Genomic DNA, 26,460 nt, shown 5'->3' with positions numbered 1-26,460 from the left:
TACTTGTGTACCAAGAAGCACAGTGATACACACACTTTGTTTACTGCAAAAAATGCATTTCTAGAAATGAGAGTACTGTCTGAACAAGCACTATACAAAATCTACAGCATGGTCCCTATGGAGCTGCAGGTATTTTAAGTTGGTAAGTACCCTTTACATCCCCTGAAGACACAGGTATTTTTGGCCGTGATTCTCTGACTACTTTTCTCATAACATTTATATAACAGTCATTACTTTAAAGGTCGCAATAATATTTAAGATGACCTTTATTTTGGTAAAGAACTGCTAGATGAGTTTCAAGTCAAAGCTAAGTCTGGGGGTGAGGGGTGGGGAAGAACTGCTAGAGATTCCTGATCCCTCTGGTCCCCTGACCATGTCCTTGACACACTCCTCAAGCCTCCATATTGTGAGCATTTCTTTGTTCAATGCCTAAACAACTTGGAAAGTTATTTCAATGAATAACAGAGGCAAATTATATTTGAGTTTGTATATTGAAGCCCGTTAATTGACTTCATCTAGATGTTTCACAGACAGCTAAGTTCAACATACTGCTTTATTTCCACTGCCATCAGTAAGCCACCAAACTCCAGAGCAAGACCTCCGAGGCCCCACTTAAGTTTAATTCTATTGACTTCTCAGAGCTCATCTCTATTAGTCTCTCCCTTGCTCACTCTGCACCTGATATACTGGCCTCTCTTCTGGCCCTCAAATAAATCAAGCTCATTTCCTTCTTAGGGACTTTGCATATACTCTCCAGTCTAAGTGGGGATGCCTTTGCACCCAGATCTTTGCATAGTTGATTCCTTTGTAATATTCTGGTCTGAGTTCAAATCTCTCCTCTTTAGAAATGCCATTCCTGACCATCCCATCTAAAAGCTCCCCTCAATATATCACTGTATCATCACCTAGTTTTGTCTTATTTGTCTTAAATTACTTTGTCCTTTTATAATTTGGTCTTCACCTCACTTCTGAAGGTAAAGTGCCATGAAAGTAGGGATCTTGCCTATTATGTTCACTGCTGTATCTCTAGTACCGTAACAGTGCCTAATAACTCAATAACAGTGCCACTCAATAGCATATGCTTAATAAATCAAAGTTTAAAAATAAAAAATGATTTCATCTTCCAGTCTTGCTTCTGCTAATGTCCCTGTTTCAGTAAATGCTACCCCTATTCTCCTTGTTATCCACACTGAAAACCTTAAAATGTCATCTTTTAGGCTACTTCTTTACTCATTACATCCAGTGATGACCAAATTTTGAAGACACTACTGCCTAACAGCTCTTACGCTAACCTGTTTCCAAGCAAGATTATCATCTTGATCCAAGCCCTTGTTCAATCTGTGCCTCTACCAACCTAAATTGAGCTTTCCCTCCTTTCTCATCCTTCACACTGCTGCCAGAAAAATAAAAAAGTAGTGTTCTGATCATCTCACTTTCGTGCTCAATAACATTTAATCATTCTTCCACCGACCAAAGTCTGGCATTCAAAGCACTCTACCACAAGGACTTACTCAGCTCCTGGTTCACAGTCTTCCTTCTAATGACCAAATCTATTGTGCATTTTTTCAGTGACCATTACAGGACTGCTCTGCTGCATTTGACACCACTCGCCACTCCATCCTTATTCAATTTTGACTCTGTGAGCTAACTTCCTACATTTCAGAAACCCCTTCTTCTCTGTTAGCTCCTTTTTGTTTGGTTGCTTTTTTTTTTCTTTTTTTTTAAGAGATGGGGGTCTCACTCTGCTGTTCAGACCAGTCTTGAACTCCAGGGCTCAAGCAATTCTCCTGCCTTGGTCTCCCAAGTAGCTGAGATTACAGGCATGCACCACCATGCATGGCCTTAGCAATTTTTTAAAATCAGCACTTAAATCTAAATTTATGTCACTTTCTGAAAAGATTTATCAGCCAGGTGCAGTGGCTCACACCTGTAATCCCCGCACTTTGGGAGGCCGAGGCAGGAGGACTGCTTGAGCCCAGGAGTTCAAGACCAACCTAGGCAACGCAGTGAGATGCCATCTCTTAAAAAAATTAAAAAATTAGCCAGGCATGGTGGCATGTGCCTGTAGTCCTGGCTACTCATGAGAATGAGGTGCTGAGGTGAGAGGATCACTTGAGCCCTGGGGATCAAGACTTCAGTGAGCCGTGATGGCACCACTGTACTTCAACTTCAGCCTGGGTGACAGAGAAAGTCCCTCTCAAAAACAAACAAACAAACAAACAATCAAACAAAATACACCCTCTACTCTTCCTAGGCCACTCTCCAGGGTTCTGACTTCTCATTCTAACTCTCTTCTTGGGGGACCTCATCTACTTTCATAACTTTTACTGCTATGTGTAAGCTGATTAACTCACAGATCTGTGCCTTCCACTCAGAAGTGTCATACTCTTACTATCAACTGCCAGTGAACACTTCCACCTGAATCCTCACAAGCAATCTAAGAACCAGATAGCTTAGCCCACTTTCCTAATATAGCTCTTTTTCACCATTCAAATAGAAAATTTGGAAGTCATTCTTGATTCCTCTCTATCTCCTTCACCCTGACAACAAGAGCAACTATTGTTTTATATCTACTATGTGGTAAGGCACTTTACTGGATGTTTTCCATATATTGTTTCACATCCCTATGGGCTAAATATTACTGTCCCAAATTTTTATTTTTAATAAATGGAGTCTTGCTCTCTTGCCCAGGCTAGAGTACAGCGGCACAATCATGGCTTACTGTAGCCTCTAACTCTTGGACTCAAGCAATCCTCCTGCCTCAGCCTCCTGAGTAGTTGGGACTACAGATGCATGCCACCACACCTAGTTAATTTTTAAAATTCTTTTAGAGATTATGTCTCACTATGTTGCCCACGCTACACTCAAACTCCTGACCTCAAGTGATCCTCCTGCCTCAGCCTCCCAAGTAGCTGGGACTATAGGCACAAGCCATGGCACCCAGCTTACTGTCCCAATTAAGATGAGAAAACTAAGGTTCTCAGGGGTATGTAAAACATCCAAGATCCTAAAATGGAAAAGTGACAGAGCTGGGATTTGAACCCACACTTATCCAACTCAAAAAGCTATTCTCTTTCCACCATATACATTATCTATGTTGATCATAAGTCCCTGTTAAGTCTACCTCTTCAAAATATCTCAAATGTCTCCATTTTCACCATACCTATTGCTTGTACACTAGTGCAAGCCCTTATCACCAGTTTTGCCCCTTCTAATATTCATATTGCAGACCTAGCTCCCCAAAAAGCCAATGGGCCCTCCATACATTCACAATAAGGTCAGTATTTCTTAGCATAGTACATAAAGTTCTTCATGATCTAACTCCTGCTTAGTTTTATAACTTCATCTCTTGGCACTCCTGCTCCATGCCCACTCTCACCATCACCTACAGTGAACTCCTGTCTTCTCTAATGTTCTGTGTCTCCGAGCATTTGAATAATATAGCTGGAATCCAACACATTCTCCCACCCCAAACCTCCATCTCCCTTGGTCTGACAAAAGTCTATTCATCTTACAGATTTTAGTCTTTAATCCTTCTTACCAATGAAACTGCTTTGTAAAATAATTTTTTTAATAACTCAAAATTTCTTGGTATTGTAACTACACATTATGGTGAAACAGACTGAGGATGGCCGTTCTTTTATTTTTCTTCCACATTACCAGAGGTAAAACATTCCAAGGCTGCTTGGAGCAGCCAAGCCATCTTTCTTATTCCTTTTTTGTTCTGCTTTTTTTTTTTTTTTTTTTTCCAAATATAGAAACTGGGCCAAGGTAATGGAGGGGGACAGTTTGTTGGTAGGTAGTAAGACATCTGAATTGCTAACTATTCAACAAGATCTAGCTTGTTGGACATTTCTTGCTCATTTTCTTTTAGTACCAGTAGTTTTTTGCCTTAGTAGAGTAGTAAAATTTGAGACGACTTGAATTTAAGCTAACACGTAGAAAGGAAAGTCAGGTTTAGCTGGTAAAGGAAAAAGGCATATTCCATATAGAATAACCTAGTTCTCTGGATTGTGAGGCAGGGGCCTATGCCTAAGCCAACAAATTCTAACTTGAATTTTGGTATACCTAGCTCCCTAAGGGATCTCAAGAATTGGTTGAATTAGAATTTAAGTATTTCTGGTCTTACTAGTAAGACACCATCTCACTCCATCATAATATTAGTCATAAATTATTTCCAACAAAAGCTGCTCAAGAAAGAGGCCATCTGTGTGGTTTTTATGTCATTTGTCCTTTGGCTACCAAGGTTCCTGACACACTGAAAGTACTTAATGAATGTTTCTTAAATAAAGCGAATGATAATCTAAAATCTATACAAACATAGAAGCTTTCTTACGAAACTCGGCCAGCAGTATATCACAGGGCTGCTAAATGACAGCTAGTTTACAATACACATGCACATGGGTGACAAGACAGTAAGAAACCAAATCAAGTGGATATCTGCTACACTTCCTCCCTGACTCACTGATATGGCAGTCAGATCATTTAGAAGCAGATCCCAGAGCATAACTCTCAACCTTGGTTCTGAAACTATGTACTACTCTCTCAGGTATCAGATTTCTCCTATGACATTTGCTATCTACATTCAGCAAGGTGTTTTTTTTTTGAAAAGAGTATTATAAAAATATTAACTCTAAAAAATTATAGGCCCAGCATGGTGGCTCATGACTGTAATTGCAGCACTTTGGGAGGCCGAGGTAGGTGGATCACAAGGTCAGGAGTTTGAGACCAACTAGTCCTAGCCTGGCCAATATGGTGAAATCTTGTCTCTACTAAAAATACAAAAAAATTAGCCGGGTGTGGTGGCGGGCACCTGTAGTCCCAGCTACTTGGTAGGCTGAGGCAAGAGAATCACTTGGATCCGGGAGGCGGAGGTTGCAGTGAGTGGAGATCTCACCACTGCACTCCAGCCTGGGCGACAGAGCAAGACTCCGTCTCAAAAAAAAAAAAAAAAAAATTATAACTAAACTTGCCATTTAGGGAATAGGCTAAGATTTCTCCCTTTCTACCTATTTTGATGAAAATAAATAGTTTAGTATTACAAACACATACACTTTAAGTTTCTTTTTCTTCTGATTTTAAGAACAAAGCATGCTCACCATAGAAAACTATGAATGAGGAAATGAAATCATCCAGAAAGTAATTACCCATAGATTACCACTATTATCATTTTGATGTGATGATCTAAGTTCTGTTTTAATCTTTGTTCAATGTATTTTGATGCTGATACAACTTTACTATATAAAAATTCTGTATTATCCTCTTTTACTTATTTAGTAATATAAGTACTTCTAAGTTATTAATATTACAAATTATTTTAATAGTTGTGCAATATTTCATCATATACCATAATTTACAAAGCCATTACTGTACTGTTAGATATTTATTTCCAAATACTTATTATAAGTAACATAAAGTAATGAGCAACTTGAACTAAAATATTGTTTATTATTTCCAAGGGATAGTCCTAGAAGTGAGATTACTAAATCAAAGGACATGAAACATTTGTAAGACTATCTAGATTATAAAATTACAGGAGTATATATAAAGAGCTGCATTCATTTACATTTCCACCAGAAGTATGGGAGAATGCTGTTTCATCTCATGGAGCATGAGAAATTCAGTAAAATGTATAAAATCATTTAATAAACAAAAAATTGGATATCTCACTGTAGTTTCTAATAGAAGTGATTACTGCTCTCACCTCTAATACTGTACATTTCCTTAAGGTCTAAGCCAATGTAGTAAGGCAAGAAATAACAGATCTATATAAGAAATAAAGACTTAAAAGGAAGTAACGAAACTGTCATGATTTACAAAAGATATAATTATATTACTTAGAAAACTATAGAAAAATCAACAAATTATTATAATATGACATCTGTACATCAGCGAGATGGCCAAATACAAGAGCAACATAAAAAAGCAACAGTTCCCAACCATATCAGCAACAAACAATTGAAAAAGAAAAAAAAAAAATTCCATTCATAATAGCAACAATAACCACAAATATCTGAGAAATCAATCTAATTAGTAATATGCAAGATCTTGAGGAAGATTTAATAAAGGATATAAAACAAGACCTCAAAAGAGAGAAATATATGTTCTTGGATAGGAAGAATCATTAAACTAAATGTGTCAATTCTTCCAAAATTATTCTAGGAAGTGAATGCAATCACAAATTTAATTCGAAACTTTTCCATGAAAGTCTGCTAATTTGACATGTGAAAAATCAGCTAAGAAAAGTCTGAAAAAGCAGAATAGTAGAATAAAGATATGTAGGTAGCTACAGTAATTAAAATAAGGTGCTGTTAGCTTAGGAATAGGGACAGAAATGAACACAATTTAAAACAGATGCGTGTGTGTACACAAAATAATCCAACTGTGCCTTATTTCTTCTTTTGGAAAAGACGATTTGCAAGGTTTTTTCTTATAGTAAATAGTAAGTAACATTACTCTGTAAGTAAGACAGATCCGCAAATTTGAAAAACAAAACTATTTATCTATCTACCTATAAATAAACTCACCAACCAATAAACTGAAATTGACCTATTTAATAATAATCATACAGCAGGTTCAAAGTACATGTGTTTCTTAATTATGTTTTGTGCATATAACCTAGGGAACAAGGTTTTCTAATATAACTGATCAGGAAAAACAAAAGCTGTTGATTTCTATGATACAAAACTTGCCATGGGGGGCAGTGGGATTTTTTCTGTTCTGAATAATACTAAAATGATTCTTAACTGAGCCTACCTAGATTGACTTCCTTTACAGATTAAACTTGGAATCTGCCTAAGAAAATGTCTAAGGTCCTCTCAAAAAATATGTCTCCTAACATTGCAAATAACTTTCAATAAACACACTCTAAAATAGGATTTGGTTTACATAATGATCTGACTTAAAATAAGCAAGCAGGATGTATATTCCTAAACATAAAAAGATAACCAAATATGCTTAGGGCTGGGGAGGATAGAAAGGAGAAATGGGGAATGACTGCTAATAAGGGTTTCTTTATGAGGTCATATAAATGTTCTAAAACTAGATTGTGGTGATAGCTGCAAAACTCTATCAATATACCAAAAGCCATTGAATATACACTTGAAGTTGTTGTATAATATGGTATGGATATATATAAATAAAGTTGTTTTTTTAAAGGTAACTAGATTTAAAAAAAAATTTTTTTTTAATTCTACTTTTGTTGGCTCTAAGTACCTTTAAGCCAGTGGTTCCCAAATGAAGGTAATTTTGCCTTCCAGGAGATACTCAGCAATGTCTGGAGACATTTTTGGTTGTCACAAAGTGTGAGATTACTGGTATATAGTGAGTAGAGGCCTGGGATGCTGCTAAACATCTTACAATGCACAAAACAGACCCCAAAAACAAAGAATTACCTGGCCTAAAATGTCAATAATGCTGAGATTAAGAAATCCACTGAAACTCAGCACTGGAATAACTCAACTAACATTTATGCCTCTCATTCATATCATTATAAACAGCTATAACAAAACATATGAAAAATTAAAATATGGTACATTTGTGTGATCCCTATAAAAACTACATGAGTCTCCACAAAAACAGAAACTATATGACTGAATTAAAGCCTTTGAAAAGAGAGCTACATACATTTGGGAATAGGCTGTGACAGTTTTGACAGACATATGACTAGAGAGATTCCATGGTACACTGGTGGTAAAAAAAAAAAAAATCCTAGATTTGAAAATTATGCTTATTAATTACAAAATACTTCTTTGCCTTATGGAAGAGCTTCAATGACATGTTTTCCTGTAGATGAACTATAAATGAAAATATTAAGAAATAACCGAGTACCTTCTGTATCTCTTAAATGAAGGTGAACCCCATTAGCCAATGACTTCCAGGACTATCAACATACTATGGGTTATGTACAATCTGTGAACCAATATTGAGTTACTGAACAGGCGCAACAGTTTAGTAGAGCCGAAAGTAGAACTTTTGGGTCAAGCAGACCTGTTTCTGAGTTCTGATTCTCCCTGCAGTTTCTTCCTTTGAGGACCTGGGAGCTGTGGGAGTTGACTGAAATAGTGTATATAGCACACGTCTTAGCATAATGTCTGGAATATGATAAACACTCAAGAGGAATGTTAACTCCAGTAAAACAAACTGCAAATGTATTAAGTACAAATACTTAACAGCCATTCACATTTCCTTAAGTCCTAGCACTTTGGATGTGGACTTAGTATAGAAGTGAGATTTATTCATACAGCAAACTTCTACTGAGTACCTGCTATGTGCTTAATGCTGCTGGAGAAATGATAAATAAGATCTGACCAGAAGCCCTCACCTGTAGGGAAGACACACTCAAATAAATAATTATAATATGCACAATAACAAAAATGTGCATAAAATGCCTACTTAACAGAGAGGACAGTGATTTACTGTCAAAAAGAAACAATGAAGGCTTCACAGAGGAGATGAATCCACTGACAGGTGGAAAGAATAAAGGCAAATGGGAAGGCAGTGGGAAGGCTATATTTAAAGACATAACCCTGAGACAGCATACCACTGGAGATTAAAGTTCAAGGAGGTGAGGGGGCTAAAGATAGGGTTGGAAGGATAGATCAGGAAGGGCCTTAATTAAACCTTTTTTTTTTAAGAGACAGGGTCTTGCTCTGTTGCCCAGCCTGCAGTGCAGTAGTGCAATCATAGCTCACTGTAATCTCAAACCCCTAGGCTCAAGCAATCATCCCGCCTCAGCCCTCTCCAGTAGGACAACAGGCAAGTGCCACCATACCCAGCTAAATTTTTTATTGTGACAAGGTCTTGCTATGTTGTCCAGGCTGTCAACTTCTTAAAGAAGGGACTTTCTAGGGTAGGAGAGAGGGAATCCTTGTTAAGGTATTATGCCCATCCTTCCCATCCCCAATCCAGAATACCTGCCACACAATAATCACTCGCACTTACTCAATTTACTAAATGGCTATAATCGAACTAAACTATTTTACACCTATACTTTGTCTAATGCTGTCTTCTAAGATTTGGGGAGGTTATGCATATTTCCCAAGATTACATAGCTGCTATTAAGTGGCAAAGCTAAGATGTGAACCTAGGTCAGCCTGAATCCAGAGCCCTACACTCTTTTCTGGTTGGCTATATTCTCTCCTTAAGCACTAGGATATTATTTGGACTTTGCAGGCAACAGGGAGTTAGAGGTAAACACAGTAACACCTGTCTATCAATTCTGATGCTTGAAGGTATTGCTCTTTTGAAACTCCCTGAGCTAGGAAGGAAAGGCAACTCTAGTCATTTGGTGTTGGAGAGAAAAGCTTAGGAAAACAAAGATATACACCCTCTTTGGTACCTAGTTATTTCTATTTATTCTAATCTTGCTCCAGATAACTGTCAACTATTCTCAACTCTGTTTATGTTGAGGAAATCCTTCCTAGCCGGAAAACCCTAGAAAGATATGAATACTTTCTTTAAACAGAATTTGCCATATTTAAAACAAAACAAAAAAAATTTTCTAATTTTCCCTCATTCTACGTTGAACCATACTTGCCTAAGTTGATGGTGAAAAATAAATCAAAAAAGGAAAATCTGGCTAATTCTATGTGAAATTGTAAATAGTCTTAAAAAGTTTTAAAGCTACTTCCGGTCCTTTAGATGTACAATGAGTCACCATAGTAGTAATGCATTGCTATAGCCTCTATCACCAACTTTTATTCTACATTGGGCTCTATTACCTCTTGACAGTTTTTATAACTTGAAAAGTCTGCAATTGGAAGCCTATGAAGGTTGTGAGGAAGCTTGGCACAGTGGTGCACACCTGTGGTCCCAGCTACTCAGAAGGCTGAGACTGGAGAACTGCCTGAGCCCAGGAGTTTGAGTCTAGCCAGGGCAACACAGTAAGACCCCATCTCTAAAAAAAAAAAAAAAATAGAAAATAGATTTTTAAACAAAGATTGTGACAAACGGAGCAGGGGTGTATCAGATCTCAGTTTTAGGAAAACTCTGAAATGTCAAGAACAAAATAAACATGTGAAAACGTAGAGGCAGAGATACCAGTTAGGAAAGAAGCTATTTTACCTTCCAGATCACGAGGCTCTGAAAGAGAGCCCTGACTGGCCGGGCGCAGTGGCTCACGCCTGTAATCCCAGCACTTTGGGAGGCCGAGGTGGGCGGATCATGAGGTCAGGAGATCGAGACCATCCTGGCTAACACAGTGAAACCCTGTCTCCACTAAAAATACAAAAAATTAGCTGGGCGTGGTGGTGGGTGCCTGTAGTCCCAGCTACTCGGGAGGCTAAGGCAGGAGAACGGCATGAACCCGGGAGGCCATGCACTCCAGCCTGGGTGACAGAACTAGACTCCATCTCAAAAAAAAAAAAAAAAAAAAGAGAGCGCCCTGACAAGGGAATGAATCAGATATAAGAATAAATAATAATTATCATAATAAATAGTTGCTAGCACTTAGTGAAATCTTTTCTGTGTTCTAAGCACTGTGCAAAGTACTTTACATATCTTATCCCACTAAAGTAACATGATTTCTGCCATTTTACAGATGAGGACAGTCAGACCTAGAGAAACACTTGATCAAGATTTAAGTGGCTAAACTAAGACTTGAACCTTAGAACTATAAACTTTTAAGATAATTAATTGATAAAGATCAAATAAATCTATAAGTATTCTAATTTGAGTGATGATGATCCCATTAACAGAAATAGGGGAACCCCGGAGAGGAAGCAGGTTTGGAAAAAAAATCAGTTCTACATTCAGATGTCTCCTACAGACACAACCCAGCTCAAACTCTGTCTTCAACTAGAACTGCTCTTCCTCCAAGAAGTCAGGCTTGGCACTATCTCTTCTCCAACCACGATATTTAACTTCCTGTCCCTTTCACTCCGTTTATTTTTGAACTCAATCTTCATCCTCACTTTGTTCCCTAGTTATGTGGACACACTCTCAATCCAACCCTCCTCTGGCTTCGCTTAGCATCCGTGGTAATCCCTTGTGTCTCGCTGAACTTCTGCCACACCTGATGGTAATTCTTATCATCCACTTTCTGGTGTTCTTAGGCTGCTAAACACCAAGGAAAGAGATTACAGGAGGGCTAATAAAGCCCTAAACTTTACATTACCTGAGCCATCACTGTTGCTTGGTAACCTTTCATTCATCCTATGCTGGCAATGTACATAGCCCTTCATTGGCTGTTCCAATTTTTTTCCCTCTGTCCTCAAATCCTCATTCCCCTTTCCTTGCACCTTACAATCTGTAGATGATTTTGCCTCCTAATTTACTGAGAAGTCACCCAAAAGTATCTTTATTCTCCCTTCTATTATCAGCATCTGACTGGTTCTCCAAACATTGACTCACCTTTTTAAAATCTCATTTTAGAAGCACTTTCACTTGGGTGACAGACCCTGTCTCAAAAAAAAAAAAAAAGAAAAGTTATTTATCAGTGCTGTCCAATATGATAGCCTCTTGCCACATGTGGTAATTAGCACTTTAAATGTAGTTAATGCAACTGAGGAAATAAGTTTTTAATTTTAATTAATTTTAGGTTTATAAGCCACATGTGACCAACGGCTTTCATATTGAACAGCACAGTTCTTAGGTCTTATCAAATGATTCAAACACAAAACCTGCTGAACTTTTCTCAATACTCTCAAGTCAACATTCAATACCATCTGAGATTCCTCTTAGCTGCTGACATACTACCCTGTTCTCTTTCTATTTCTCTGATGGTTCTCACTTTTCTTAACTTTCTGCTTTTGGCCCCCAAAGACCAGGTGTAACCCTAAGTTCAGTTCTCATAATTCTGCAATTCAAACTCAAAACTGTCTGCCTCAATTTCATACACTGCCATAATTTCTACACCATCTCCATGCAAAAGACTTTCATATCTAGACTGCTGATTCTGATCTCTTCTCAGGACCAATCTCCAGATACAAACTAGACACTTTCAACATACTATTAGCTCAGACTTATTAACAAATATCAAAATTCAGGTTCATCACTTTCATTTTCTGGAAGTCATTTCTTTCAATGGCACAAGCACTTTCATGGTCATCCAGATTCAAACTCTACAGAATTACCCTTAAAATATTTTTCCTCTCTCCATTCATACATCAAATTCTTTTTTATTTTTATTTTTTTAAGACTCTTGAGAACCACATACTTTACACTCAAGTTCAGACTTCCCATCACTGATATCTGAGTCAATACTATGGTCCCGAAACTGGCTTCCCCATTTCTCCTACGTCTGTTAAAAAACAAAACTAGCTTGGGCAACATGGCAAAACCCCATCTCTACAAAATACAAAAATTAGCTGGGCCTGGTGGCAGCACACCTGTAGTCCCAGCTACTTGGGAGGCTGAGGTGGGCGGATTGCTTCAGCCTGGGAGGTGGAGGTTGCAGCAAGCCAAGATCACACCACTGCACTGCCTGGGTAACAGAGTGAGATCCTGTCTTCAAAAAAAAAAAAAAAAAACTAAAACTAAAACACTGCTTTATAAATGAAACTTCCTGTCCCCTACCCCTCAAAAATATACACATTCACATACCCTTTTCACCTGTCCTTGGTCTGACATCGTCATTCTACAACCAAACTTCTACCAACCTTGTGAACTTCATTTTCTAACATTCTCCTCAAAGTCTCCACTAGAACTTTAAAGGTCTATCCATTCTTTCTTATACAAAGCATATTCCAACTTCCTATTGAGAGGTGACAGCGTGCTGGCAGCCCTGGCTCACTCTCGGTGCCTCCTCGGCCTCGGCGCCCATTCTGGCTGCGCTTGAGGAGCCCTTCAGCCCACCGCTGCATCGTGGGAGCCCTTCTCCGGGCTGGCCGAGGCTGCAGCTGGCTCCCTCGGCTTGCGGGGAGGTGTGGAGGGAGAGGCACGGGTGGCAACCGGGGCTGCGCGCGGTGTTTGCAGGCCAGCTAGAGTTCCGGGTGGGTGTGGGCTTGGCGGGCCCTGCACTTGGAGCGGCTGGCCTGCCGGCCGGCCCTGCTGGCCCCCGGCAGTGAGGGGCTTAACACCTGGGTCAGCAGCTGCGGAGGATGCGCCGGGTCCCCCAGCAGTACTGGCCCACTGGCGCTGCGCTCGATTTCTCGCCAGGCCTTAGCTGCCTCCCCGCGAGGCAGGGCTCAGGATCTGCAGTCCACCATGCCTGAGTCTACCCCCACCCAGCCGTGGGCTCCTGCACAGCCTGAGTCTCCCCCAACCCCCGTGGGCTCCTGCACGGCCTGAGTCTCCCCAACAAGCACCGCCCCCTGCTCCATGGCACCCGGTCCCATCGACTGCCCAAGGGCTGAGGAGTGCGGGCGCATGGCACGGGACTGGCAGGCAGCTCCACCTGCAGCCCTGGTGCGAAATCCACTGGGTGAAGCCAGCAGGGCTCCTGAGTCTGGTGGGGACTTAGACAACCTTTACGTCTAGCTAGGGGATTGTAAATACACCAATCAGCACTCTGTATCTAGCTCAAGGTTTGTAAACACACCAATCAGCACTCTGTGTCTAGCTCAAGGTTTGGAAATGCACCAATCAGCTGTGTCTAGCTAATCTTGGTGGGGACTTGGAGAATCTTTATGTCTAGCTAAGGGATTGTGAATGCACCAATCGGCACTCTGTGTCTAGCTGAAGGTTTGTAAATGCAGCAATCAGCACTCTGTGTCTAGCTCAAGGTTTGTAAATGCACCAATCAGCATTCTGTGTCTAGCTCAGGGTTTGTAAATACACCAATCTACACTCTGTATGTAGCTAATCTAGTGGTGACGTGGAGAACTTTTGTGTCTAGCTCAGGGATTGTAAACGCACCAATCAGCACCGTGTCAAAATGGACCAATCAGCGCTCTGTAAAACAGACCAATCGGCTCTCTGTAAAATGGGCCAATCAGCAGGATGTGGGTGGGGCCAGATAAGAAAATAAAAGCAGGCTGCCCGAGCCAGCAGTGGCAACCCGCTCGGGTCCCCTTCCATACTGTGGAAGCTTTGTTCTTTTGCTCTTCGCAATAAATCTTGCTGCTGCTCACTCTTTGGGTCCACACTGCCTTTATGAGCTGTAACACTCACCGCGAAGGTCTGCAGCTTCACTCCTGAAGCCAGCGAGACCACGAACCCACCGGGAGGAAAAAACGACTCCAGACTCACTGCCTTAAGAGCTGTAACACTCATCGCGAAGGTCTGCAGCTTCAATCCTGAGCCAGTAAGACCATAAACCCACCAAAAGGAAGAAACTTCGAACACATCCCCACATCAGAAGGAACAAACTCTGGACATGCCGCCTTTAAGAACTGTTAACACTCACCGCAAGGGTCCGTGGCTTCATTCTTGGAAGTCATTGAGACCAAGAACCCACCAATTCCGGACACACTATCTTTTGTACAATGCCTTCCTTCTTTATTCCTGTTAGGGCTCTCCTTTTCTCAAAGAATTAGTTCAAGCCTACCAGGTTTCATGGAGTCTTTTATTTCTGCCCTGGCTCTCAGAAGATTCATCCTGCTCTTAATTTTAGTATTACCATCTTTTACCATTCATCTCTCTTTTAGCATATGCCACTTGTATTACTTCTATGCATTACCTTTTATTTTAATGAATATTCTGTCTCCTCAACTGGAACATAACCTTTTGGAAGGCAAAGGCTTCTACCTTTATGCTCTCAGAACTTAGCCTTGTGCTTAGACTTAGTAGGAATTTAAGGAATAAGTCCCAAAGAAATGGATATGCAGTTGAGAAGTGGTAAGAGGACAAAGTTAGTAAACAGGACCACTAACAATTAAATGGATAAAACAGGAAATAACGGTAAAAAGCAATCTTCCATGAGAGCAGAAAATATGAGCAAAGGCAATCACAGAATCAGGTATTAGTGTACTAACCATCTAAAAACAGTATAATCTTATTACAGTGATCATCAAACGATTCTTGGGACTTTTCTGTTTTACAGGCAGTTCATCCAAAGAAGTAATGCTCAAAATATATTACCTGGGTAAAACACAAAGAGTTTATGGTTAGTATCTTTCCCCTCTGCCATAGTATTTATTTTAATGAAATCTGATATACCATGGCAAGCTGGCAGCTTGTGTGGGTGGGTATAAGAATTTCCAAAACACGGTGGCTCACACCTGTAATCCCAGCACTTTAGGAGGCTGAGGCAGGTGGATCACAAGGTCAGGAGATCGATACCAGCCTGGCTAACACAGTGAAACCCTGTCTCTACTAAAAATACAAAAAGTTAGCCGGGCGTGGTAGTACATGCCTGTAGTACCAGCTACCCAGGAAGCTGAGGCAGGAGAATCGCTTGAATCCGGGAGGCGGAGGTTGCAGTGAGCTGAGATCGCGCCACTGCACTCCAGCCTGGTGACAGAGTGAGACTCTCACTCAAAACAAAACAAAACAAAACAATTCCCAAAACATTACAATGATAGCTTTAATTCTATAGAAGTTTAAATCAGTCTAGCTCTGGAAATACAGAACTAATGCTCAGTGCTAAGAGGGTACAGTATGCCCTGTCAGTTGTTAGGGTCATAGCTTAAAATAGCTGCATAGTTTAGGGCCAAGAGAGGTTGGTCCAACACTGTTAAGCTGTCATGGATCAGTCTAACTCCATAGATGGCTATTTTAAGCTGCATCTCTAAACAGCAAATTGAGCAATCAGGAAATACTAGATTTCTACATTCAAGTGTAAATGAACTGGCCACAGATTTTTCTCTAATATCGTGTGTGGGGGGAGGGGAGCGGGAAGGGGGTGCCACCTAAGAACCATCTTGCATATTCTACCAAGCAATCCAGATCTATCTTCAGTAGTAGGGAATTCAGCTTTTCACCTCCAATTAAGGTGAAAAGAGTATGAGCACTTATTTGGGGAAAAGGAGGATTTAAAAAAATTATTATATTAATTTTCTTGGACACAAATGACTTTTGGCATTTCTGTGGTGAAGGGAGAAGAGATGAGAACACAGGCAAAGAAAAGGTTTCATTCACTTATGTGATGAATTCACAGTATGATTTTTAAAAACTCATTTATAGACATAAACTGGCCGGACGCAGTGGCTCACGGCTGTACTCCCAGCACTTTGGGAGGCCGAGGCAGGTGGATCACCTGAGGTCAGGAGTTCAAGACCAGCCTGGCCAACATGGTGAAACCTTGTCTTTACAAAAATTAGCCAGGCATGATGGCAGTTGCCTGTAATCCCAGCTACTCGGGAGGCTGGGGCGGAAGAATTGCTTGAACCCAGGAGGCGGAGTTTGCAGTGAGCCAAGACTGTGCCATTGCACTCCAGCCTGGGCAACAGAGTGAGACTCCATCCCCACCCCACCCCCCAAAAAAAGACATAAACCTTGACAGGAAAACTGCACTTGATGGAAAAGACTTATTTAAATAATTTAAAGACGTGGTCAGACAAGAAATGAACTTCACTGTAAAGCTATAATCAAAGCCAAATCCTTTTAATACATGACCCCAACATTTCTTCTTCGAAAGTTATAAAAACTCTTAAGAGTAATTTAGCCTTTTAATTTCATCACAATAAACCCCCAAAAGACCATGAATTTACAATACCTATGTTACTATTTCTAAAATTAGTACATTTTAGAAATACATTAATTGTATTTCATTACATTAATTGCTCATAGCTAAGATAGTTCAAGATTATTTCTACATATGTGCGACTGCACTCCCGTCTTGGCCAACAGAGCAAGACCCCAACTCCTAAACACAAACACACACATGCATACACACACACACACCCCTATTGAAAAAAAAATAACAGTGGGTCATGGTCATACCGCTTACCCCTTTGTCACACTGGGGGATTTAATTATTATTTTATATTGCTATGTTGTTGGTTTCTTTGAAAAACTCAATGTGCTTCATCATCTTAGCAGACAATGGTCTGTTAATTATCAAAAACACTCTTGGCCTGCTTACTCTAGATGATTCTGAAAAGGAAAGGAACATGCAATTGTTCTTATTTCTAGATATAGTAAAAACTATAAATGTATAAAAAATGGAACCAAATAATTAAATACAAAGCAAGTTTTTTTTCAACAGAGCTTCATCTACTCAGTAAAGTATTCATTAAGCACCAACCACATGCAAGGCACAATCTATACACTGGAGGAAGCGAAGATGATAGCACTATTGAAGTGTCAGAGGTAGTATAACGAACCATTACTTAGCTAAATAACTATGTATGTTTTCCATTACAAAAGCTGAAAGTTGGGGCAATAAGAGCATCTCAGGGCCTCATGCTAGACCAAGTATAAGAGTTGGCAAGAAAAAGGAAATCTGGCAGGGACCAGATTATTCTTTATCATTCTCCTATGATAAAAGGTTATATTATAAAATAAAGTTGCTAAATGCTTTACTCAATATATAAAAAAATCTTATTTTATTTAGGAAGTTATAGGCTCCCTGGGGAGCAGATACATACTTTGGTGACATGTGACTCAGATATGTTTCCCAGTGGTAAGATACCTCTATGCCTTCCTTCTTAGGCTGGAGGCATTCAACCCCTGTAGGAAGTTTTCCTCTTCCTTTCACTCTCCTGCTTACTAACCAACCCCCAGAACTATTCCTCTTGGCCACAGTGGCTCTGCTCCCCCTCCACTGGGCTGATCTCTCAGTTCACCCTGACAGATAGCTTGTGGGGATGGGAAAGACCTTGGGGTCTACATCAGGCAGACCTGAGACATTTTATTTGAAAAAGCAGAGGAAATCCCAGACATATCACTGACAGGCGGCTTGTGAGAATGGTAGGGCTAAAGCCTAAGACCGTGTGCTGTCTAGGATTTCCTCTGCTTTTTCAACTAAAATCGGCTCTTTCCCAAAAACTCACACCACCTTTTCTCCTGTTTTCCCTGTGGGTAATCTGAAATGGCCTTGCACACCCGCCAGACTGCCTGCCTCAGGGGCACATCTGCCTCTTCGTTTTCACTTTGCATGCCACCTGACTTCTTAAACACACACTCCCTGTTATTCATGTGTCCGCAGCTCTTGCTGTGTGCTTGGCAGCAGACAGGGGCTCCCTTGTGGATGGATATTCCCTGAGATTTATACTTGTTTTTACCCTACCAGCTCAGATGACCTCCAACTCTTCCTGTCTGTTGGCACATTGCTGAGACAAACACTAATCGGAACCCTGGCTCTGCGAGCTCCTTATGACTTACCATACACCTTTTGTTCCTGTTAATGCCCCAGGGCCAAGTTTTCCAGTGTCTTTTGAAGCAGTTTGCCTGCCTGCATAGGGCTTCACTCTGAGGCCCTTTAAAGACCTTACCCACTTGCTTTTTTGGAGTTAGCAACCCTTTGGGAGGAGAGAAAATTCTTCTTTTGCCATTTGTGAGTTCTCACCCCAAGCCCCAAGTGCTCCAGAGGTTCCTCCTTTAGGTCAAGAGGGCCAATAAATGTTGCCCCCTCAAATCCAAGGGCTGCTGTTTTTGCAAGCATATGAAGGCTTTCCATGAGTATTCCTCTAGCTTCTTCCCACTTCCTCCTGTAGCCTCCATTTCACGAATTACTTCCATGCCCTTCCCAATATGCACCAAGATCTTCAGGGTCATATTTGAAGGGAGGGAAGTCCAGCCCCTTGTGGCAGTTAGCTGGAAAAGCAGGCTTCTCATCTACTTAAAGAACACGGAAAATGGGAATCTGAGAAAAGAGATCATCATTTTGTTGCTAAAATGCTGCAAGTGAGAGTCACTCTAAGGTTATGAAGACAAAGATATAGGCTGGCCCAAGACTGCAGACAAAAGAGACCCATAAGACAGAGATGAAGGTTGGTTCCAGGCTAACAGATTACCATTAGAACAGGGTTGAAGGCACAATGATAGGTACACAGTAAGACAGGTTCATTCCGTAACCCCAAGGATGAACTGGGGGGCCCTGTTCATATTGGTGTCTCCAATGTTCTCAAATGGGTAATTGTGACAAGACACTACAAAGGTTAAGAGTACATGGTAAGACCAGTTCATTATGGAACCCTAAGGACGAATGGGGGATGTCCTATTCAGGATATAGGAAAGTAAGAGGGGACGCTTTCTTTTTCTTTTTCCTCCTCTGATCTCTCTTCACAGATGGGTAATCATGTTTCCATACCCCAGGACATGCCCCATGGATGCATCCTCAAAAAACTGGGAAAAGTTTGATCCTTCAAACCTTAAAACAAAAAACTAGTTTTCCTTTGTAATACTGTTTGGCCTAAAAATAAACTGGACAAAAACTACAAAAGCCTACTCCTTCAGTTAATTGCAAGTGGTGTGGGAAGCCAGGCTACTGGAAGTCAAACTTCCCCAATGGGATAATCAGGGAAAAATCCCTGCACAGCTTGACCCCTCTGCCACAAGCTCAGCCACTGGAACAGGACATTCCTGAGGGTTGAAGCACGCCCCCACCCCCAAGACAAAATCTCAACTCCTGACACTCTTGAGCTGAAGGGGCTCTCTGCTCTGGCTGGCTTCCAAATCAGACATTGTTGCCATCAACAGTACAAAGCCAAGGGAAACTCTAGATGTGGCAAGTAAAAATTATAAATTTCCCTTTTGGGTTCAAAAGCTGCCTACTCTGTGCTAATGTCCTGCTCTGATCAACTCTCCTCCAAATCCTGTCAGGTAATGGGGGCGTATGGCACCCCTTCCCTAAAAAGAAAAGATTCACACCCTTTTGGGGCAAAAACTTACTTTCAAAGATGGGTGCCCAACCTGTGAATTCATCTGTCTAATAGCCCCATTTCTCTTCAGAAAGCTACCTAAATCTTTAACCAATAACTTCAACTGGAAAGTCCTACCTCAGAGGTTTAGAGAGAGCCCACATGTATTGGGAAAAGCCTTAGTAAAAATCTAACCAAGCAGTCTTTTGAGGGTGGATAACTTCTACAGTATATAGATAACCTCATCTGCTCCCCCTTCATAGGACTCACACAGCAACAAACCATAACTTCCTAATAGAAGGAAAATGACTTTTATCTAATTCAAAGGTTATAAAGGTAAAGAGGTATTTTTGGTAAGGAAGGTTAAAAAGAAAAGATATTTTATATGAGAAAGGATCTTGTATGGTAAACTATTGTCCTAAAGTAAAATGGTTGTATAAAAAGAGGGATGTTCAAGCCAAGTGAGAGAGTCCAAGTATGTTGTAGATGGTCTGTGTAAGTTGTAAAAAAAAAAAAAGTTAGTAAAAGGGAATTTATAAAGAAATGTTATATAATTGTAAAGGTTATTAAGCCCACTAAATGCTTCCTAAACTTCTACTATGACTCTTAACTGGACAACTTGTCTGCTTTAAAGCTACATAAGGCCTGAAGACACACAGAGTTAGCCATGCCCCCTAGCTATGCTGGAAAGAGTCAGACCTTATCTACACTTCTGTCTGGTGTCCTAGGCTCCACACCTAGTACATAATTAGAATTTCTTACTTACCAGGTTTTCATCCAAAGTAAAAGCTGCTAAGAGTTAACCATGTAACATGTACTTGAGACTACTGAAAAAAAGAGTTTTACATGTAAAACATGTAAGTAAAGTAAAATGTACTTTTGGTAAAATATCATAAGAAGGCATGGGAATATAGATTTTTTTGGCCTAGTTTAGGGAGTTAAAGAATTATTTTAAGTTAGATAGGATAAAGCTAAAGGTTTGAGCAAGTCGTGGCAGATGTGTGAAATATTAATCTTGTAAAAGAAATCCTGTGTGAACACGTTAGCTAACATTAAAGGGGTACTATTCAGACTATTCATAAATTAAACATTGGAATAAAAGCATAACACAGTTTTCTTAGAGCATTCTTCTGGTCTTTAACAAAAAAATTGTAAAGGGTTATAAAAGGTCTATGACAATCTTACAAAATGAGGGCAAACTGATTAAGATTGAATAGATTTGTCTATAAGGTTTTATTAAGAACTGGGTTTGACATCAATAGTACACCAATGCAAAGGTGAAATCCAGCTTTCTTTGGGCTGTATTTGTGTAAGTGTGTTATTGGTATGGGTTCCAGAATTATGTGAAACTCCTACAATTCTGATATGACTAGGCATACATTATCAGTAATAATTATAATTGTTAAGTTAAATTATTGCATGCCACAGAGGCTAACAAATTTCCTTTTCAATTGTGTCTGGCTGTGGCTGCCCTAAGACTTTTTATCATCCACAGATAATTGTTACCTTGTTTTAATCCTCTTTAAAAGGTGGTTTTATAATTACTGATAGGCTTAAATGCAGGTTTCTGATAACTGGAGATTGTGACATAGGATAAAGAAAAAAACCTTTCAGGACTCTCATGAAAGCTGAAATGTTCATGAATATAAAGCAGAACAGGAGTTAACTGCATGGACTGAACTAATAGAAGACTAAAATAATCCTTTTATGACTTTTTGCTTAAAACATTGCTAATTCTTTGTTTTTCAACGCCAAGAAAACTTTTGAGCTATTTACAGCTTTTAACAATTGAGTAGGTCGGGCACGGTGGCTCACACCTGTAATCCCAGCTCTTTGGGAGGCCCAGGCAGGCAGATCACAAGGTCAGGAGTTCAAGACCAGCCTGGCCAATGTGGTGAAACCGTCTCTACTAAAAATATAAAAATTAGCCAGTGCGGTGGCAGGTGCCTGTAGACCCAGCTACTAAGGAGGCTGAGGCAGGAGAATCGCTTGAACCTCGGAGGTGGAGACTGCAGTGAGCTCAGATCGTGCCACTGCACTCCAGCCTGGGTGACAGAGTGAGACTCTGTCTCAAAAAAAAAAAAAAAAATAATGAGTAAAGTATACTCCTATAAACAAAATTTGGAACATACTTCTCTCAGATTTCTGCAGAATTTGGAAACTACTTGTGAGTATTCTTAACTAATGGCAATATAGTTATTTGCATAAGTGCAATAAAATCTGTTTTCTTTTGCAACAGGACACAATTGGAGAAACTGGTTATTTTACCAAGGTTTTGACTGGAATGGCATGCTTTCCTTTAAGAATCAAAATTGACTTATAAAGCCAAGAAAAGCCCCTCTGGAAAACTGAACTCATACATTGTCAACACAGTCCCTGTACAGGATTCCCGACCTGTGGCAAGTAAAGAATGTCACTTTTGACAGGCCCAGGAGCCCCAAGCAAGACAAGGGGAATTTGTCCAATTCATACAGGTATTTGATGGCACCAACTGATAGCTGGGCTTAAGGTTTTAAAAAGCCTTATCTGAGACTCCTTATGGAAGGAAGTTCCATCAAAGCCAATTTTAAAAGGAGCCTATATGGCAAATAATTATTCTTGCTGTGCTTTATGCAACTCATTAGGCCAAGTATAACAGAACTAAAGCTTATTTTGCAAACAAATCAGTCCTATCATAATTTGTTCTTAATAAAAATGAGAACTGAAGAGAAAAATCATGTTTCAAGAACTATGGTACTACTGTTATCAAATTTTAGTCTCATCAGTTGTTATTAAGTTTTTTTCTGCCATTTAGAATAACTCTGCTCATTCCTGTGAACCAACCAGTGATCTCTGGCTACAGCTCAGAAGAAATAAAAGGGATGGGTAATGTAAAAATCTGGGTCAATATTCTAATTCTGGGCATGTATCGGAATTGGTTAGCAACCCCACGCACCCAGGTCTCAGCCGGCATGACTACAGCTGGCATGACTGCAGCCACCTGCCTGGCATGTTGGGAGTCTCAGAATTCTCAGAATTCTTTAATCTGTCCTCATCCCCTTATTTTGTCTTAACATCTCTACTTGTCGTTTTTGGCCTCTGTCTTCTAAATCTAATAATCTGATTTGTCTCCTCTCACCTTCAGGCCATCCAGCTCCAGATGATCCTCAGTAAAGAATACCATCCTCTCAATATCCAAGAGTCACCCTTCTATAGGGGACTCCTAGACTGCCCATCAGTGGGACATGACAGAGGCAAAATCCTGCCCCTGTCTCCCTTGGACCTGGCTGAATTCAGCTTTCATCAACCCACAGAGCCACCCTGCCCTGACAGCCAGCAAGAGGCCAAGACCTACAGAACAACCACCATCATCCCTGTCAGCAAGAAGCAGTTACAGAAGACTGACCATCCATTTTCCCCAAAGAACTGGGGTCTTGGACTCTTAAGGGAGGAAATGTTACAGTAGGTAGTCAGATGTGAGCAGGACAGAAAGCACCCCCTAACCCCGCAACCAAGAATATCAGGTGGTCAGGCAGTTGTTAAACTGTCGCTCTAATATAGTAATTGGTCACAGCCAGCAACAGGGAAAGGCAGTCTCTCAGTAGCTAGAAACACCTGAAGCTGGCAATCAGCAGCTTCCTGATAAGATCTCAGGAGTTGGACGAGTGAGCTCAAGCATACACACTAAGAGGCAAACGGCAGAGTTTAACTGATATATGAGCACTAGACTGGTAAGGGAAAAAACAGCTCAAGAGAGCATGCATAAAACTTCAACAAACACACTGCACGTGCAGCCCCTCCCAAGTGCTGGCAGGCCACTGCACATCTGGACAGCCCAACCCAAGGGAAGAATCATGCAAGAAGTAACACAACCTCAGAAACACACCAACATATAAGACCCCAAGTCAAAGGTCAAACCACACACTTGACTCTCATGTCGCCCGCTTGGCCCATTTCCATGTACTTTACTTCCTTTCATTCCTGCCCTAAAACTTTTTAATAAACTTTCACTCCTGCTCTAAAACGTGCCTTAGTCTCTCCCTCTGCCTTATGCCCCTTGGTTAAATTCTTTCTTCTGAGGAGGCAAGAACTGAGGTTGCTGCAGACCTGTATGGATTCACGACCACTAACAAAATGACATGCAATTCTAGTAACAAGCTAGTATGTAGTATATGAAAGATTTTCCTGGGCAGAGAGTTAACTTCCTTACTAAGTTATATCCTGTTTAAGCACTTGCATTATTAAGAATGTATTTCCTTAACCTAAATTTCTTCTTCCACCATAATTATATCACAATTTGTTCAATCTTCTGAGGAAATGGAGAACTATCACAAGTGGCTGTATGGAGGACCATTTTTAAGCCACTTCTCAGGCTTCATCTCCCTCTTCCTTAAAATGTGGAACACCAAACTGGATCCAATACTTATATGAAGGCCCAATGAAAGAGAATATAACAGAAACCTATTGCACCCCAAAGCATGTATATTTACCTCAATATTACTATGCCCACCAAAAAAGCCCCCTAAAATTAAAAAAACAAAAATCACTTTAAAAAATCCACCAAATTTCCTAAATCATTTTTGTTTCACTATAAATTATTGATATCCCTAGTCAGCAATTTCTCATGTTGGCTCTGTTCACAATATGACTATTTGACCCAGTCAAATTTACCATAAAAACAGAAATCCTGGAAAATCTTTACAATGAAGTACCTGGCTTAAAGGCTGCTGCAAGTTTCCAAGCTTACAAATCTAACAGCAAAAGCCAAATAAAACAAAGTAAGAAAAAAACATAAAAACAAGTTGAGATACAAATGGGTAGATGTGGGACATAAAATAAGTCTCTGGGATCTATTATTAAAAATAGTTTTATAAAATAAAATATAAATAACTATATTAAATTTTAAATTTTAGTTTTGCTAGATGGAGAAACTGTATCAATTGGAACAATTACCTAGCAACCGAACCACTGCCACTTGGGATAGGAGAAAACAAAATTAATACCTTATTCCCTTGAGAAAGGCAAGAAGAAAAGACTTGCCTATAATTTTTTTCCCAATAAAAAATGCTTACATTTGAATGTCTACTTAAGCCTGAAGGAATCAGACCTAGGTTATCCTGGTTTGCCAATAACTAAAGGTGTGATTTGGGTAAACCATATATTCACACTGGGCCTTAGTTTTTCCATTTATAAACAAAGAGAGCAGAACCAAAGATGATCTGTAAAGGGAGCTTATAGATGAGAATTTGTCATCTTCCAAATCAAGTTTAAAGTTTTTTTATACACATACATTATACATATGCATGTATATATACACACACGTATACTTAAACATATGTACATATTTACCTATACACGCATATGTATTTCAGTACCATTCTGAATCTCTTCAAGTTACTTCCAAAAAAAGCTTTAAATCTAACAGTATTTAATACTTTCTTAATAATAAGATTCTTTGCCACAAGGATTGAAAAAAAATCAGTAGCCCAAAGTTTTAAAAGATAGTGTATTAATAGAAAATTGATTGCCACTGAAAAGATAAGTTTGTTACAGTTCCCAAGAGGAGGCGGCACAACCTGCCATAGGATGTGGAGCATACGGGTCAGTTAGGAGACAAAAGCAGGAGTAGAAACTGTTGGCGAGATCCTTTATTGTGGTTTCCACCACAAGGAACAGGCAAAGCAGGGTAAACAGGCTTAGGGTTGGCTAGTTTGAATAACTTTAGAAGACCGTGGGGCACAGGGGCTGTCCCTAGTTGTTTGGTACCTCGCCCTGGGGGGTGATTAGAGCAGGTGGTCTAAAGTATGAGAACCTAATATAGGAGGTGGTTAGGATGCAGGCTCTGGATTGGTTGGTGTGTGTTTTGAAAAAAGCATTTGCAGGAGAATTGTCTTTAGGAAATGGTTAACCCCGGAAGAGGTAGTCCTTCCAAAGTCAGCAGACCTCAGATGTCAAAGCATAATACATAAAATAAAAGGGTTAATATACTCAATCAAGCCAAGTAATAGAGGAGTCTCATTTCCATTGGCTATTTACTGAACATGCACTATATACCAGCATTGTTATATGTTACAGATGTAAAAACGACAATGTAATAGAAAATAAGACTGTAAAATGTTAAACATACACACATAATAATTTAGAAGAAAAGAGTAAAGGTAAACAAAACGATGTAATAATACTTTACACCTATCAGTACTCTGGCATTTACAATACATTGTCACACATATTACTCCATTTAATCCTCAGAAAAATCCTGTCTAGTAGGCAGGCTATCTTCATTTTATAGGTGTTTATTACTGAGGCTTGTGAAAGCTAAAGGAGATTCCCACATCACAGACAGTAACTAAAAGAACAGGGAATTGAACCCACGTCTCATTCTTGTCCATTTCTATTTTCACCAGCACCACAATGTCACCTTCATTTTAAGTTAAATCTATATAATTATCATGTAGAAACAAATAGCTATTCCTAACCACTGAGGATTGACTGCTCAATGATCTTTAATAAGAATGGCCTAATATTACATTAAAAAACAGTAGGATTCTTAATAATTAATGAAACACAAATTCTTTACTAAGAGTACTTGCCAGTGGTACTAGAAAGCACAATTTTCTTTTTTAAAAAATTTCTGTATAATAGTAGTGAGCTAGACCTCAACTAAACTTTCTAAGACATTACTTCCAAAACAGCTCTTTTATTTCTCAGTAATCATGGGTAACTAAATATTTGTTAAAGTGGTTCAAAAAATTTAGATTAACCTACAAAATGAAATCCAAGCAAATATTATATTTTAAATTCCTGTATTTTATTGTTATTTAATTCAAAAAATTCTTCACGGGGGGTCATTCTGTAA

The 26,460-nt window shown here is 39.7% G+C and overlaps 1 protein-coding gene and 1 non-coding gene across 8 annotated transcripts in view, besides 1 other annotated feature; both read right to left on the bottom strand.

Moving 5' to 3' along the window:
* Positions 1 to 26,460, bottom strand: part of SP4 (Sp4 transcription factor) — an 86,740-nt gene that overhangs the window by 40,325 nt on the left and 19,955 nt on the right. The window lies entirely within an intron of this gene.
* MIR1183 (microRNA 1183) lies at positions 3,352 to 3,440 on the bottom strand. The gene has a single exon (NR_031594.1). It is a non-coding gene; the product is annotated as a microRNA 1183 (primary transcript).
* Positions 20,173 to 20,467: a silencer, noted in NCBI's record as "tiled region #5184; HepG2 Repressive non-DNase unmatched - State 23:Low". NCBI's record gives its function as "represses a minimal TATA promoter and a strong SV40 promoter by Sharpr-MPRA in HepG2 cells {active_cell/tissue: HepG2}" and the evidence as "EXISTENCE:reporter gene assay evidence [ECO:0000049][PMID:27701403]".

This window comes from Homo sapiens, chromosome 7 (assembly GCF_000001405.40).
Source record: "Homo sapiens chromosome 7, GRCh38.p14 Primary Assembly".
Taxonomy (NCBI): Eukaryota; Metazoa; Chordata; class Mammalia; order Primates; family Hominidae; genus Homo; species Homo sapiens.
The sequence above is the reverse complement of the archived record's forward strand: the minus strand, read 5'-3'. Positions and strand labels throughout refer to the sequence as shown.